General features: G+C 47.4%; 1 protein-coding gene across 14 annotated transcripts in view, besides 1 other annotated feature; it reads left to right on the forward strand.

Moving 5' to 3' along the window:
• Positions 1-14,580, forward strand: part of ADGRD1 (adhesion G protein-coupled receptor D1) — a 187,563-nt gene that overhangs the window by 18,493 nt on the left and 154,490 nt on the right. For 9 of the 14 annotated variants that reach the window (NM_001330497.2, XM_011538204.2, XM_011538206.2 and 6 more), the window contains one exon: positions 9,485-9,664. The exons of the other annotated variants lie outside the window; for them this stretch is intronic. In NM_001330497.2, coding sequence (NP_001317426.1) covers positions 9,485-9,664 — 180 coding nt within the window. The remainder of the gene's footprint in view (positions 1-9,484; positions 9,665-14,580) is intronic. 14 annotated transcript variants of the gene reach the window in all.
• Positions 7,147-8,137: an enhancer, noted in NCBI's record as "H3K4me1 hESC enhancer chr12:131464091-131465081 (GRCh37/hg19 assembly coordinates)". NCBI's record gives its function as "activates a minimal SCP1, AML or CMV promoter by ChIP-STARR-seq in naive H9 embryonic stem cells {active_cell/tissue: H9 hESC(naive)}" and the evidence as "EXISTENCE:reporter gene assay evidence [ECO:0000049][PMID:30033119]".

Here is a 14,580-nt window from a genome sequence, read left to right on the forward strand (position 1 = left end):
ACATGATTGTAGGACAAAATGGACTTTGTTCCAGTAAAAATAAACAACAGCTTAGCAAGGCAAAAACATGTGGGAGGACACATCTTGGGCTTTGTGGAAACCAGAATTTTGAGCAATGGTTATGAGGCCCAAAACCACGGTCAGGTTTACAAACTCATAGTTTATGCTGTTCCTGAGTTCAAGCAGCTCCATAAACATCCCAGGCTTATTTATTTTTACAAAGTAAAAAACAACCATGGGCTCGGCGTGAGCTCGGTGGCAGGGGCGAGGAGGACGGGAGAGTAATATGTGCTCCTTCCTTGCATTGGATTCGGGAAGGGCGGGGGCATATCTGTGGTGGCTTTTTCTGGGTTTCTAGAGAACGGCTTCTCTTTGGAGTAGAGGCATCCAGAAAGCTCCAGCAACCACACTGGAATTGATCTCATTTGAGGACAAGGATGGTGCAGGTGCCAGGGGTTCCAATGCCTGGGACTATCACAGATAATGAACCCAAGAAAGGAGACAGTGATGGGACCAGCGGGAAATCAGAGCTACTGGACAAGTTTTATCTGCACGCCGAGGTCACACATGAGAGGCCTTTGAGCTGATTCTGGCCTGTGGCTGTGTTCGGTTGGACGGGCATCGGGTTAAAATTTTAAAATTAGCTGTCAACACTGAAAAATAGGAAATTTCCACAGATTTCCAGTTTTTCTTGATAAATCTCTCCTGACTTCTCTGGCTGGCTGGAGCTAAGTCGCGGTGGCCCTGGACTTCCGTCTCCAGTTCCCCTCAGTCCCCACCAGACTTCTCGACTCTTCAATAATCTTCAGGTCGAACAGAGCCTGTCCGCAGCATGAGCTCTGGGGCCAGAAGGCGTGGGTTCCACTTCCGGTTCCGACCTGTTTGTGGGGATCTTGGGCAACCACTGCTTCCCTTTGAAAAGCCTCATCTGTAAAGTGAGTGAATAAAAGGACCTTCCCATACAGTTGCTGTGAAGACTGGAAGAACTATTACAGCATGTTCCTGGCATGTGGTTGGTCCAGCTGTCGGGAGGCCTTTTGGGTTTATCGCTCATGTGTCCATGATTCCAAACTTCCCCTTCATCACTAGGGTATCTTTTCTAAGAACACCACTTTGCCTGCTTGGAGGGTGACTTCTGACAGACGGGCCGTTGTGGTTGAACTGATCATAATAGCTGCATACCCTTGTTGAGCCCCGACTCTGCACCAATCCTTGGTCTAATCCCAAACATGTATTCACTCATTTCATGCCCCCAACATGAGACACACAAGAACATGGGTGAAGAAAGAGCCATGAACTCGGGCTTCATGTCCCGCTGTTGACAATTTCTTTTGTGTCATGGTTAAGCAGAACTTTTAAGATACTGTTCATGTGGCCACTTTCTTTAGAGCATGGCCAGATATAAACCGGGGGTGCGGTGGCTCACACCTGTAATCCCAGTGTTTTGGGAGGCAGAGGCAGGATGATTGCATGAGCCCAGGAGTTCGAGACCAGCCTCGGCAACACAGTGAGATCTTGTCTCTAACTTAAAGAAAAAGAAAAGAAAGGAAACAAAGTCAGGAAACCTTCAATCAACGCTGGCTCGGTGAGAGGCTGCTCTCGTGAGGCCTGATGCAGACGCAGAGGGTAGGTGGGGCATTTCTCACTGTGCCCCCCTGGGTCTTGAGTTCAGCCTCACAAGGTGACCGGGCCATGAGCCTGTGCGAGGGCCATGGCATGCCTTTCCCGCTTTCCTCTGCTGTATCCTTGGCTCAGGCGGATTCTCCTGGGGCCCTGATGAGCTTGTACTTCTGTGTGCGGGAAAACAAGCCGTGAACAGGGAAGACCTGCCCAGCATTTTCCAAATTAAAGTCCCTGTAGCAGGAGGCAGAGGAGGCCTTCTCAGGGGGCACCTGGAGCAACTAAAACAAAAATCAATGGTTATGTTTTTATTTTAATATACTGGGCGCATCAGAAACGAGTTTTCACATATATTATTTAAGAGGAGACTTCAGTGAGCATTGAGCTTTAAAAATGGGTAGATTTAAAGGAAAATATTCCCTAATAATCATAATTCAGGTGTTATTCAGATCTCATAAAAATTGTGAATGATTAGAACGTGGGAAGCATTGAATTAGCCTTTTCAGATGTGTTCAGCGAGTCCTCCGCCACACTTATTGGTGTGGGCACAAACTTATAACCTGTTATTCTTATAACGAAAAACAACGCTTAAATAGAGAAATGCTCTCCAGCCCCTGCCTAACAGGCCCACTGCTTTTATATTTCTGATTTCCAAATCCTGATGTGGTCTCTGTTCATATTTTCAGCGATTTTTTAACAAATAATGTTTTAGGGGACAGGGTTGATGCTGAGAAATGTGGCTGTCCCCCGAGGGTGCCCATAGAAGGCAGAGGTCCCTGCTGTGGCCCTGCTCCGGACCCCCGCTCCCGGCCCTCCCTCCACCCCTGCTTCTTCCAGAGCCTCTCTGCTGCTTGTCTGCCTGCCTTCATTCTAGGAGCTACTGTGGGTCCTGTCTTTTGGCAAATGGTGCCTTCTGGGGACATGTTCTTAAGGTCACTTGCTGCTAATGGGGCAAGCTTTGGAGGACATTGGAGAGAAAAAGGCTGTTTGGATCCCTGGCCATTCTTGAATGTTAAGCTTAGAAAACACAGTCTGTTCCCTCAATACTCAGGATTCTGTCTTTCAACTCCCCTGACCAGTGAGCACACAGGTGGGGAAGCTGAAAATAGGAAGGGGCACTTGCTGGAATGTTCTGGCACCTTCTTTCACCTACCTGGAGACCTTGAAGGCTCAGCTCAAGTGTAAACTTTACGGGGATGAGCTCCAGTCCAGGTGAGTTCCTCTGTCTCATGCCCTTATTGCTCCCCCTACATTTCTTCCCACAACTTGCACGGCCGACGATGGCCTGTCACTTCCGTCTCCCTTACTTGGTCTTCAGCTCAGTGAGGACGAGGACTGAGTCTGCCTTGGCCAGTGATGAGTTCTCAGTGCCTGGCACACCATAGATACTGCACACTGAATGCATCTCCATCCAGGGTTTGCTGCACCTTCACTTGAATACTGAACAAGGGCCATTCACGACTCCTAGAGAAATCATTTCCCCTACATTGAACCTATAGTCAATACTGACTGGACACTCAAGCATGTTGCTAGGAGGTAGATCTCATGTGAAGTCTGTGACCATAATAAAGTTAAATGAAAGGGAACTGATTGCATAAAATCCAAAAAAGGTCATTTCCAGCATCAAGGTGCAGATTATTAGGTAATTCTTCCTTGCTTACTCTCATTTCTACCTCTGATTTATTGCTGTGTCGGTTAAGATGATGTTATTTGATATAACAAGTAAAAACACAGACAACGGCAGAAAAAGAAGCCCATTCCGCTATTGGACTCCTCTGACTTTTAGTGTGTTATTTCTGATATTGGGCTAAATTCCGTCTCGAGTAACTTCGGCCCATTGCTTCTAGTTCCAGCTCTCCTGTGAATGGCTTTGGCAGCTCCTGGGAAAGGCAGCCTCCCCGATTAGCCCCTCAGCTTCACCTTCCTCCCTCTGTGAATGTTTCCTTTGCTTTTTCCTCACATGCATTAAGAACTTCTTCTGCTTATAAACCCCAGAGAGGCTGCTGAGGTCCCGAGGCAGCAGCTGGAGCATCTCCGCACGGCCATTTCCCTCTTCTCAGCTTTGAGTTGACTTTTTCCCCCTTTGCATTTGTTTCCTAAATTTAAAACGCTGTCAACAATTTGCTAAGATACTTGCAGGTGGAGTTTTAGGATAGAAATTTCCAGAGGGGCCTGGGGGACACGGGCCTGGCAGGGATCTAGCTACTCTCTTACTCAGGCGATCTGGGGTCAGGGGGCTTGGAGGCCTGTGGAGCAGATGATCCTCAGAGAAGCATTCATTCAGCACACTCCTTGAACAGATGGGGAAACTGAGGCCCAGAGAGGATGCAAGATGAGCCTGAGCTGCCACGATGCTGTGGCACAGTGTATCTCCAAGTACAGCTCGTAGGCCCTGGGTGGCAGCAACTGCAGGTTCCCAGGCCCCAACCAGGACGTGCTGATTCTGAGTCTCAGTGGACAAGGCCTGGGAATCGGCATTTTTAGCCAGTCTCTCCAGGTGATTCTCGCAACTCATGTGATACCACATCCCGGAATCCGCGGCTGACTATACGTGCTTGGTTTGGTGGGCGCCGTGTTGATCTTCTGTTTTTAGAGTGAGACTTTCTACATTGTCTCCTGCCAGGTGGGTGGATCCAAATACCCCAGCCCACGAGGTTTCCAGAAATGGAATTTCTCCCGGTGCTTTCAGTGTTTTTCTTTTAAAATTAACATTCAATTCTGGCAGGACACAGTGGCTCACACCTGTAATCCCAACACTTTAGGAGGCCGAGGCAGGAGGATTGTTTGAACCCAAGAGTTTCAGACCAGCCTGGGCACCACAGGAAGACCCTGTCTCAATGAAAAAAAAAAAAAAAATTTAGCAGGGCGAGGTGGTGTGTACCTGTCATCCTAGCTACTCAGGAGGCTGAGGTGGGAGGATCACTTGGGCCCAGGAGGTCAAGCCTGCAGTGAGCCATGATTGCACCACTGCACTCCAGCCTGGACCACAGGGCAAGACACTGTCTCAAAAAAATTCAACCTTTATATATGGGAAAATTTCATTTAAAAATCTACACTTCTGACTTCTCTTAAAATATGAGAACTGCTCCCCTGCACCCCACTGGCAGCAGTTGGTCAGGGGTAAGGAGTGACTGCCCCTTAAGGCAGGGCCAGCATTTTCCAGTTTTCCTCAGCCTGCAGGACTCTCTGCTGTCTGTCGCTGTGACTGAAGGTGGTGGCCATTCCCCAGGATGGCCTGCGTGTGGCTTTGTTAGAGGAGCAGGGAAAGGGGAAAGGGAAGAATTTCTTATTCCCATGGGGAAAGTGGGTGTCCTACAGCCCCAGTCATTTCAGGAAGCGATTAGAGTGGGGCTTTGGGGTGGGGGTGTGGAGTGAGAATTTTAAAGGCTCGATATGCAAACGAGTGTCTCCTCCTGGCCACACCAGGCACAGGGCCCATGAGGCAGCCGGGAAACGGGCTCTGAGTCTTGCGTGAAAGCGTATGGGACGCGCATCCTCGTGGCTCTTTGGGAAACGTGGTGGGCCACAGGCTGGTCCGGGTGCCAGAACGGCCATCAGACCCTGTCCCTGCCTTGCTCCAGCTCTGTTCTCAAGGCTGCTTTCCTGGTGTGGGAGCAGCATCCGCTCAGAAGCTCCAAGTTCTGGTTTTGTCAGGTGAGCCTGCCCATGCCTGGGTCAGTCCTGGTGATTCTGATAGGCCCAGCCCGAGTCAGCCTTCAGCTGTGTGGTCTGTGGTGACTGGGGTGTGGGTACAGACGCCAGGCGGGCCCGCATGCCTGTATAACCTCGCGCCCTCCTGGGCCGCTGCTTTGTTGGCATGTGTTGATCATGCTCTTGCAGGGTGCTGAGTCTGTGGGCCTGGGAAGGGCAGCTGCATGCATGATCTCCAAGGGAAGGGCGGGAGCCACAGCACAGTGATTACAAACGCAGACTCCAGATCCAGGCTGCCTGGGTTCAAATCCTGACTCGTCCCAGACCAGCTGTGTGGCCTTGGGCAAGTTACCGCACCTCCCTGTGCTTCAGTTTTCTCCCCTGTGAAATGGGGACAGTAATGACCCCTAGTTCACAGGTTGTTGGGAGGATTTAACCTCAGCCCATATAAGTTCTCCTCACCTGCTAGAAATCATCCTTTGTCTTATGCCGTGGTCTCTACATATGAAGGGAATTAACTTCTCATCTAGTAAATCTGTGACAAATATTCTTTCCCTGGATGGTTGTCTGTCTTTGAGTTTGTTACGGTAATTTTTTTTGCCTTGCAGAATATTATATTTATGCACTTAAATTTATTAGTCTTTTCTTATGACTCCTAGATTTTTATTTTTCCTTTTTTTGTCTTGTCAAAAAAGATCTTTCCTCATTTTATTTTTTGGATGTTTTAGGATTCAGTGCTTATAACAAGAAAAAATTATCAAATTAGTTTGTCAATATTGTGCTTGTTTCTTTTTCCTTCAGATTTTTCCTTGTTGTATTGATGGCCCAACTCCATGAGGCAAAGTTCCTTAAAAGGCTAATATGGAAGGCACATTGTGAATTTGTTATGACTCTATGAAGACGTGAATTGATACTTAAATATAAGCTGTTGCTCAGGTAGAAGTCATTGTTTTGTGCGTTGAGTTAACTAAATGAAAAGCTTGGTTACCGGCACCATGGATGGCCTTCGATCTACCCTTACCTAACACCACATGGAATTTTTTTATTTTTATTTTTCTTCCTGAACAGAAAGACATTTGGCCAAGACAGGCTCATTTTGAATTGAGTGAAAGAAATTTTAAAATGCAGCAAAGTTTTTGGAAAAAATTAACTTCCATGAATCCTACTGGGAATTTGTTTCATAACAAAAATTTCACAACGCACTGTGCTGACTTCCTTGTGAAACGGGTTGTTTCTGAGTGTGCAGGGAAGTGGCGGGAGGCTTGGGGGTTTGTCCTGGCTTCTGTACCCCTCAGCGCCCAAGGCAGGGAAGTGGCGGGAGGCTCGGGGGGTTGTCCTGGCTTCTGTACCCCTCAGCGCCCAAGGCAGGTGTTGCAGGAAGCCCGTTCATGAGGTGGGTGTGGGTGGTGCCAGCCAGGTCTGGGGACACCAGCGTCAGCTGCCCCAGGCCTCTGTGCAACCCCCACAGTCGCACCCTTTTGCGGTAACCCACATTACTGGGCACTCGGGAAGGCTGTTTTCTTTCCCAGGAGCCCTAAGGACAGATGCCGCAGGGCTTGGAGTTGTACCCCGTAGCCTCTCAGAGGTCCAGAAAGGTCCAGGCCTCTTCCAATTTTTTTGAGGTTCTTCTTCTCTTAAAAAATAAAATGGGGAAATTCCATACCAGGGTTATAAAATGTATGCTGTGTTTTTCCTGAATCCTGCGAGGGCTTTGAACTCACAAAGGTATAGTTGTCTTGATATATTGTCACAAGACATTTGAAGGACTTCTAACAGATATGTTAATTCATAAGGCATCACAGAAAGCATGGTGGGCAATGAGACACTGCCTTATACACGAATGACAAATGTCTTCTTTGAATTCAGTGACTCTCTAAGACTGTGTCCATAACCTCATGTGAAGGTAAGGTCTAAAGTCTAAATTTGGCACCATTTATAGAAATAAAGCCCAGGGCAAATATCCTTCTGCCTCTCCCCTGCACCCACCGTCCCATCATGGGCCTCTTTGGACCAGTTCTGGGCACGTGTTCTCTCTCAGCACCACTGAACCCTCTTACCCATGTGCCTGGGCCAGGCTTGGCGGGGGTGAGGCAGCTGGATGTATTTCCAGCTGTCAGGGGCAGAATCCAGACAGGCAGCTAGTGTCTCACACACACACACACACACACACACACACACACACACACACACACTGGAGTTTACACACAAAGAAGGGCCAGGTGGGCAGATGCTACTGGAGGCAGAGAAGTGGAATAGAGACAACCAGAGCTCCAAAATGCAACGCCAGAGAGGCCCAAGCTCCACAGAGCCTCCAGCCAGGCCCTGCCCTGACTTCCCCTTCAGCAGAGAGCCCGGCCCCCAGACCAGTGGGTGTGAGTGCAGAACAGCGGTCGGGGTGGGTGCGGGGCATGCTCAGGAGCTGGGCTTTTGCGGTTCCTCTTTTTTTTTTTTTGAGACGGAGTCTCGCTCTGTCGCCCAGGCTGGAGTGCAGTGGCACAATCTCGGCTCACTGCAAGCTCTGCCTCCCGGGTTCACGCCATTCTCCTGCCTCAGCCTCCTGAGCAGCTGGGACGACAGGCACCTGCCACCACGCCTGGCTAATTTTTTGTATTTTTAGTAGAGACGGGGTTTCACCATGTTAGTAAAGATGGTCTCGATCTCCTGACCTCATGATCCACCCGCCTCGGCCTCCCTAAGTGCTGGGATTACAGGCGTGAGCCACCATGCCTGGACCCTCTTTTTTTTGAGACAGAGTCTTGCTCTGTTGCCCAGGCTGGAGTGCAATGGCGTGGTCTCGGCTCACTGCAACCTCTGCCTCCGTGGTTCAAACAATTCTCCTGCCTCAGCCTCCTGAGTAGCTGGGACTACAGGTGCATGCCACCACACCCGGCCAATTTTTATATTTTTAGTAGAGACGGCATTTCACTATGCTGGCCAGGCTGGTCTCAAACTCCTGACCTCAGGTGATCCACTTGCCTCGGCCTCCCAAAGTGCTGGGATTACAGGCGTGAGCCACCGCGCCCGGCCTGCAGTTCCTCTTATAGTAAAAACATGGAGAAATCCCACATGAGGATCATAAAAATTACATTGTTTTTCCATGTTTACATTGATCACAGTAGGACTTTGCACCCACAAAGGTACAATATCTAATTGTCATAATTTACTGTAATATACTGCCACAACACATTTGAGGTATGTCCTATCTGCTGCTGGTGGCGGAGGCAACATGAACTAATGAGCCAGCTCATTCATGCTAACATGCGTCGCTCAGACCATTTAGTCCAGGTGCAATCCCTCCTCCCCCGCAGCGTGGGCCTGGGGTCAGGACTTACCACGAATGTGCAGACTAGAGTCTTGAAAAAGGTTTCAGCTGCTGCCCCCTCTGTATCCAACTGCGGGAAATGAACAATTGAAGATATCAACAACCTTAAAAGTGTGCTTCCCTTTGGCAAGAAATGCCCTCTTGGGAATGTATCCTAAAGGCATATAGTCTGAGATATGCAAAAGAATTTGCTTCAAGTTCTGTTTGAAAATTTCTTCAAAAAGTGGAAGAAAACCTTAAGATCCAGCAACAGGGGATTGCTGTTTAAAAAAAAGACTGTGGTGCTTGTTTAGAATGCGCCGCTGTGCAGACATAAAAGTGACAACGTGACAGTGTATTTATGGACATCGGAGGAAGTTCACGGTGGAGTAAACTTTATAGAAATGTTGTTTATAAACCAGTGTGCCTGAGATGGTTCGTGTCTTTGTAAAATCTATTTATAGAAGAGGCTTAGGAAGGAGCCGCCCTAACCACATTTCTGGAGGAATAGGAGAGAAACCTGGAGGGTGTAGGTCTTCACATTTGCATGATCCCGGGGAGTGGGGGCGGGGAACTGCCTGGGGCTGCAGCGATCTTCATCAGTCACTGGTGACCTTGAGTGAATGAGCCTCAGTTCCTTCATCTGTATAGTGGGGATGAAGCAGGATTTTTGTACTTTTTAAAAGGCGAGAATTCATTTCAAACTCCTAGAAAAGTGCCTGGCACTGTGTGAGCCCTTAATAAACATGAGCAAATATCACTGTCTGGATTTTCTGAACTGAACATACACTGCCTTTAGAATGGGGACAAAATGCTTTTCGAATGAAAAATAAAAAGCAAAGAGAACCATGTGCTTGCGAGAAGTCAAGTCCCCTGCTCTCTGTGAATAACTGATCTTGTGACTTTCCTCAGGGGTCACGTTTTCTTTTTTCTGGAAGACACAAGGAGAACAGTCTAGACCAATCCCTTCTGCGTATGGGGGACAGGTCATCTCCAATGGGTTCAAAGTCTGCTCCAGCGGTGGCAGAGGCTCTGTGGAGCTGTATACGCGGGACAATTCCATGACATGGGAGGCCTCCTTCAGCCCCCCAGGTGAGTGACAGCATCGGTCCCGGGAGGCTCTGCCTGGAGGAGTGGAGTCTTCTCTGAGAATGGACGCTGAGAAGCCCAACGCAGCCCAAGGAGCCCAGGGATGCTGCTGCCTCCTGGCACCCGAGCTCCTTTCCTTTAAGGGTTGTTGGGGAGGTGCATGGGGAGAGGCAAGGAGGTGCCCTTGGTAAGCCGCCTTTGGTTGGTGCAGAGCCTGGGCTCCGTCTGCCCGTGCACTGTGTGCCTGCTGTAGGTTACCTGACCACACTGACCTCAGTGATCACACCTGTGATGTGCAGATGATATTGACAGTACTTACCTCACGGTTTCCAGGACATTAAGCTGAAGATATGGTGTGCAAAGTGCAAGCAGTGGTTACATTTCTCCTTCTTTTCCTTCTCATTTTCCCTCTTCCTCCTCATCTGCCTCCTTTTTCTCTCACAGTCTTTGTCTCTTCCTCTTTCTCTTCCTCCCCCTCCTCTTCTTCCTTCTTCTTAGTGGTATAGACTTGAAATTGTTTAAAGCATGACGAGAAGAAGCTTTTGGAGAGAGAGGCTGAAGAATCGGGGAGCAGAGGAAGGGGCTAGGGGAGAGCGCATGAAGCACTGGACTGTGCGTGGTCTTGGAGGAGGGAGGGGCCCTGGATGTGTGGGAAGAGAACAGGAGTCCCTGCACATTGGCTGAGTTTGCAGGTGGGTGTTGAGACATGGACGTGGGGCAGTAGGCTGCAGAGGCTGACGAAGGTCTGAAGTGGAAGCTGGAGAAGGGGAACAGGTGGCTGGGGACACAGAAGGACTCAGGGTGGCATGGAGTGGGGGCCAAGTCAGGACTGGAGCCCAACAAGGGAAGGGCAGAGGTGGAGGGGGCAGCACAAAAGCCTAGGATGATCTCCTCCGGTAGGAAACATCTTTGATGTATTTAAGGGAAATCCATTTTCTGGCTCATTCTTAAGGGAGGCTGCATGGCCCAGTTATTAAAAAGCGTGAACTCTGGACCCAAACAGGCTGGATCAAATCCCGCCTCTGGACGTTGGTAGTTGTGTGAACCTGGGCACCTTCCCTAACTGCCCTATGCCTCAGTTTCCTCATTCATAATATGGCAGTAATAGCAGTATCACATCATAGGGTGACTGTGAGAACTAAGTGGGCTGCTAGGCATAAAGCGTGGAATGATGGCACAGTGGGCCCAGAAGGTGTTTGCCTTCTTCTGTGGATGCTCGGTGTGCTCGGACCAGCTTGTACCTCCACCTCTGTAAAGTGGGGCAGTTCAGCAAACATCTACTTCAAATTTGCCCTCTGTGATCCCTAAGGTCAGAAATAATCTCTGCCTCCCTCCCCTGACACAGAACCATCTGAACCTTTTCCGTGACCTTCCTGTTCCACTTGCTATCAGAGTCCGATTGTAAGCAGCTTATCTCTCTGCTCCTTGGGGCTGGTGGAACGTGGTTTCAGGCATCCATTAGGTTCTTTGACCTTGAACAAAGGTAAAGTATGCTCAACTCTGGCTGCTTTTCCACCCAGGGAAAGGGCGAGAATTAGAAACACTTCTGGCTGGCAATGTGCTCTCTTTTGTGCATTGAAGGCGTTTGTTATTCTTACTTTCAAACTCAGGGGCAATAATACTTTGGACCAACCTAGGGTCCAAGCGTGCTCCAGAGACTCAAAATTATCAGAAAGTTGCACAATCTTGAGCAAGAAGCCCTGATGTCATTCTGGGTGATCTAAGATGCATAGCTGGCTAGAGGTGATGTGTGTCCTTTAAAAGGGCTGCCCTGTTCCTTCCAGCAGCAAGCTCAGGAGGACAGCTTACCACACATGCTGGCAGAACAAAGGGAACCTTTGTGGGGGAATCAACAGTCAAAGTCTGATGAACATTCTTGTTGATGAGCGTGGTTCTTGTGCCAGAGAGAAGAGTAACACAAATGCTGGTTGATGGAGGTTCCTGAATGAGCAGGGAGGTTGGTCTTCCCTCTACCAACTCACTCCCATGTTGGTTAACATTATACGCCCTCGCTTAGAGCACAGGCTGATGCCAATGGCCTGTGGGCTGAGTTGGGTCCTCAGATGGGTTTTATGGTCCTATATTGTGATTGCCTAGGCCAAGTTTGTAAGAAAAATATTTGGAATGATTTACGATCATTAGTTATGATTTTATTTTAAAATTAAGATTTTCCAATTTCTTTTGGAAATAAAAAGACTGGCAAGGCAGGCTCTTCATCTCTCATGTTACTGATGGGGGAGGTGAGTAGGGGCCACCTCGTGATGGGGCAGCCGCCCTTCCACGCACTGCAGTCAGCACAGAAGCCACGTCCTCAGGGAAAGCTCGTTACTGTGCTTACCCGCTCCCTGGCCTCTGCAGACTGGGTTGGTGGGCGCCATGGAGTGCCTGTATTGCTGTTAGATTTTAATAGATTTTATTTTTTAGAACAGTTTTAGATTCACAGAAAAATTGAGTGCAAAGTTCAGAGAATTCCCATTACCCTCCGCCTCTACACAGGCACAGCTTCCCCCACTATGGACATTCCCCCACCAGAATGATCCATTTGTTACATGTGATGAACCTACAGTGACACATCATTGTCACCCAAAGTCCATAGTTCACATTAGCATTTGCTCTCGGTGTTGTACATTCTATGGGTTGGTGAGGTTGATCTTTCGCCCATTTTAAAAATTGGATTGTTTTTCTTTCTTTTTTCCTTCCTCCCTTTCTTCTTCCCCTCCTCTCTCTTTTCCTTCTTTCCCTCCCTCCCTTCCTCCCTCCCTTCCTTCCTTCCTTCTTGCCTTCCATCCTCCCTTGCTCCCTTCCTTTCCTTCTTTCCTTCCTTCTTTCTTCTCTTCTCTCTCTCTCTCACTCTCTCTCTCCTCTCTTCTCTCTTTCTCTCTTTCTTTCTTTTTCTTTCTGACAGGATCTGTCATCCAGGCTGGAGTACAGTGGTGCAATCACAGCTTACTGCAGCGTTTAACTCCAGGGCTCAGGTGATCCTCCTACCTCAGTTGCCCAAGTAGCTGGGATTACCGGCATGTGCCACCATGTCTCACTAGTTTTTTTTTTTTTTTGGTACAGGTGAGGTCTTACTTGGTTGCCCAGGCTGGTCTCAAACTCCTGGCTTCAAGCGATCCTCCCATCTCAGCCTCCCAAAATGCGGGTCGTTTGTTTTCTTACTGTTGAATTTTAAGAGTTTTTGGGTGTATTTTGGATAATAGTCCTTTATCATGTCTTTTCCAAATATTTTCTCCCCATCCGTGACTTGTCTTCTCATTCTCTTGACAGTGTCTTTCACAGAGCAGACATTTTTAGTTGTAAGGAAGTCCAGCTTGTCAATTATTTCTTTCATGGATTGTGCCTTTGGTGTTGGATCTAATAAGTCATCACTAAACCCAAGGTCATCTAGATGTTTTTCCTATATTATCTTCTAAGGGTTTTATAGTTTTGCATTTTATATTAGACCTATAGTCCATTTTGAATTAATTTTTATGACAGGTTTAAGATTTTTTTTTTGTTTTTTTTGAGATGGAGTTTGGCTCTTGTTGTCCAGGCTGGAGTGCAATGGGGCGATCTCGGCTCACTGCAACCTCCACCTCCCGGGTTCAAGCAATTCTTCCTGCCTCAGCCTCCTGAGTAGCTGGGATTACAGACACCTGCCACCACGCCCAGCTAATTTTTTGTATTTTTGTGGAGACGGGGTTTTGCCATGTTGGCTAGGCTGGTCTCGAACTCCTGACTTCAGGTGATCCACCTGCCTCGGCCTCCCAAAGTGCTGAGGTTACAGGCGTGAGCCACTGCGTCCGGCCAAGATTCTTTTTATTTTTTGGAACGTGGATATTCAGTTGTTGCAGCACCATTTGTTGCAACAAATGGTTCTGTTTGTTCATTGTACTGCCTTTTCTCCTTTGTCAAAGATTGGTTGACTGTATTTTTATTGGTCTATCTCTGGGCTGTTTATTCTGTCCCACAGATCTATTCATCTGTTTTTTTCCAATGCCACACTGTCTTGACTACTGTAACTTTTTATAGTAAGTCTGGAAATTGGGTAGTGTTGTTCCTCCAATGTTGTTTTTCTCCTTCAATATTGTATTGGCTATTCTGGCTCTCTTCCTTCTCCATAGTTTATCAATATCCACAAAATAACTTGATGAGATTTTTATTGGGATTGTGTTGAATATATAGATCAATTTGGGAAGAACTGACATCTTCACAACATTGAGTCTTTCTGTCCATGAATATGGAATATCTCTCCATTTATTTAGTTCTTGTTTAATTTCTTTCATCAGAGTTATATAGTTTTCTTTATATATAGCTTATAAATGTATTGTTATAATATATGTATTTCTTTTTCCTTTTTTGGCACCAATGACAATGGTAATGTGTTTTTTAATTGTAAATTCTACTTGTTCGTTGCTGGCAGATGGGGAGCAATTGACTTGTATATTAACCTTGTAGCCTGTAATCTTGCTATGCTCACTCATTAGTTTCAGCTTTGTTGTTGATTCTTTTGGATTTTCTACATAGACAATCACATCATCTGTGAATAAATATAGTTTTATTGCATCCTTCCCAATATTTATATTCTTATTTCCTTTTTTTTCCTTTTTTGCCTTATTGCATTAGTTAGGACTTTCAGTACAATGTTAAAAAGGAGTGGTAAAAGGGGACATCCTTGTCTCGCTCCTGACCATTTTTTCTTAACTGAGCTTATGGTCTGATTGGTTGGCACTTGTGCCCTGCCATTTTTCAAATATTTTAATCACACTTGCTTGTGGGCATTTGAATTTGTAACTACTATGTTAAAATAACAAGGAGTCTCCTTGAACTGCTTCTGGAATTTAGGGCATAAGGACAAAAAGATAACATCCTTCCTGTGCTCCAAAGGACTGGGGAAAGTCAGGTCTGTGTTATACCTTGTATTAGGACGCACCACA

This window comes from Homo sapiens, chromosome 12, assembly GCF_000001405.40.
Source record: "Homo sapiens chromosome 12, GRCh38.p14 Primary Assembly".
Classification (NCBI taxonomy): Eukaryota; Metazoa; Chordata; class Mammalia; order Primates; family Hominidae; genus Homo; species Homo sapiens.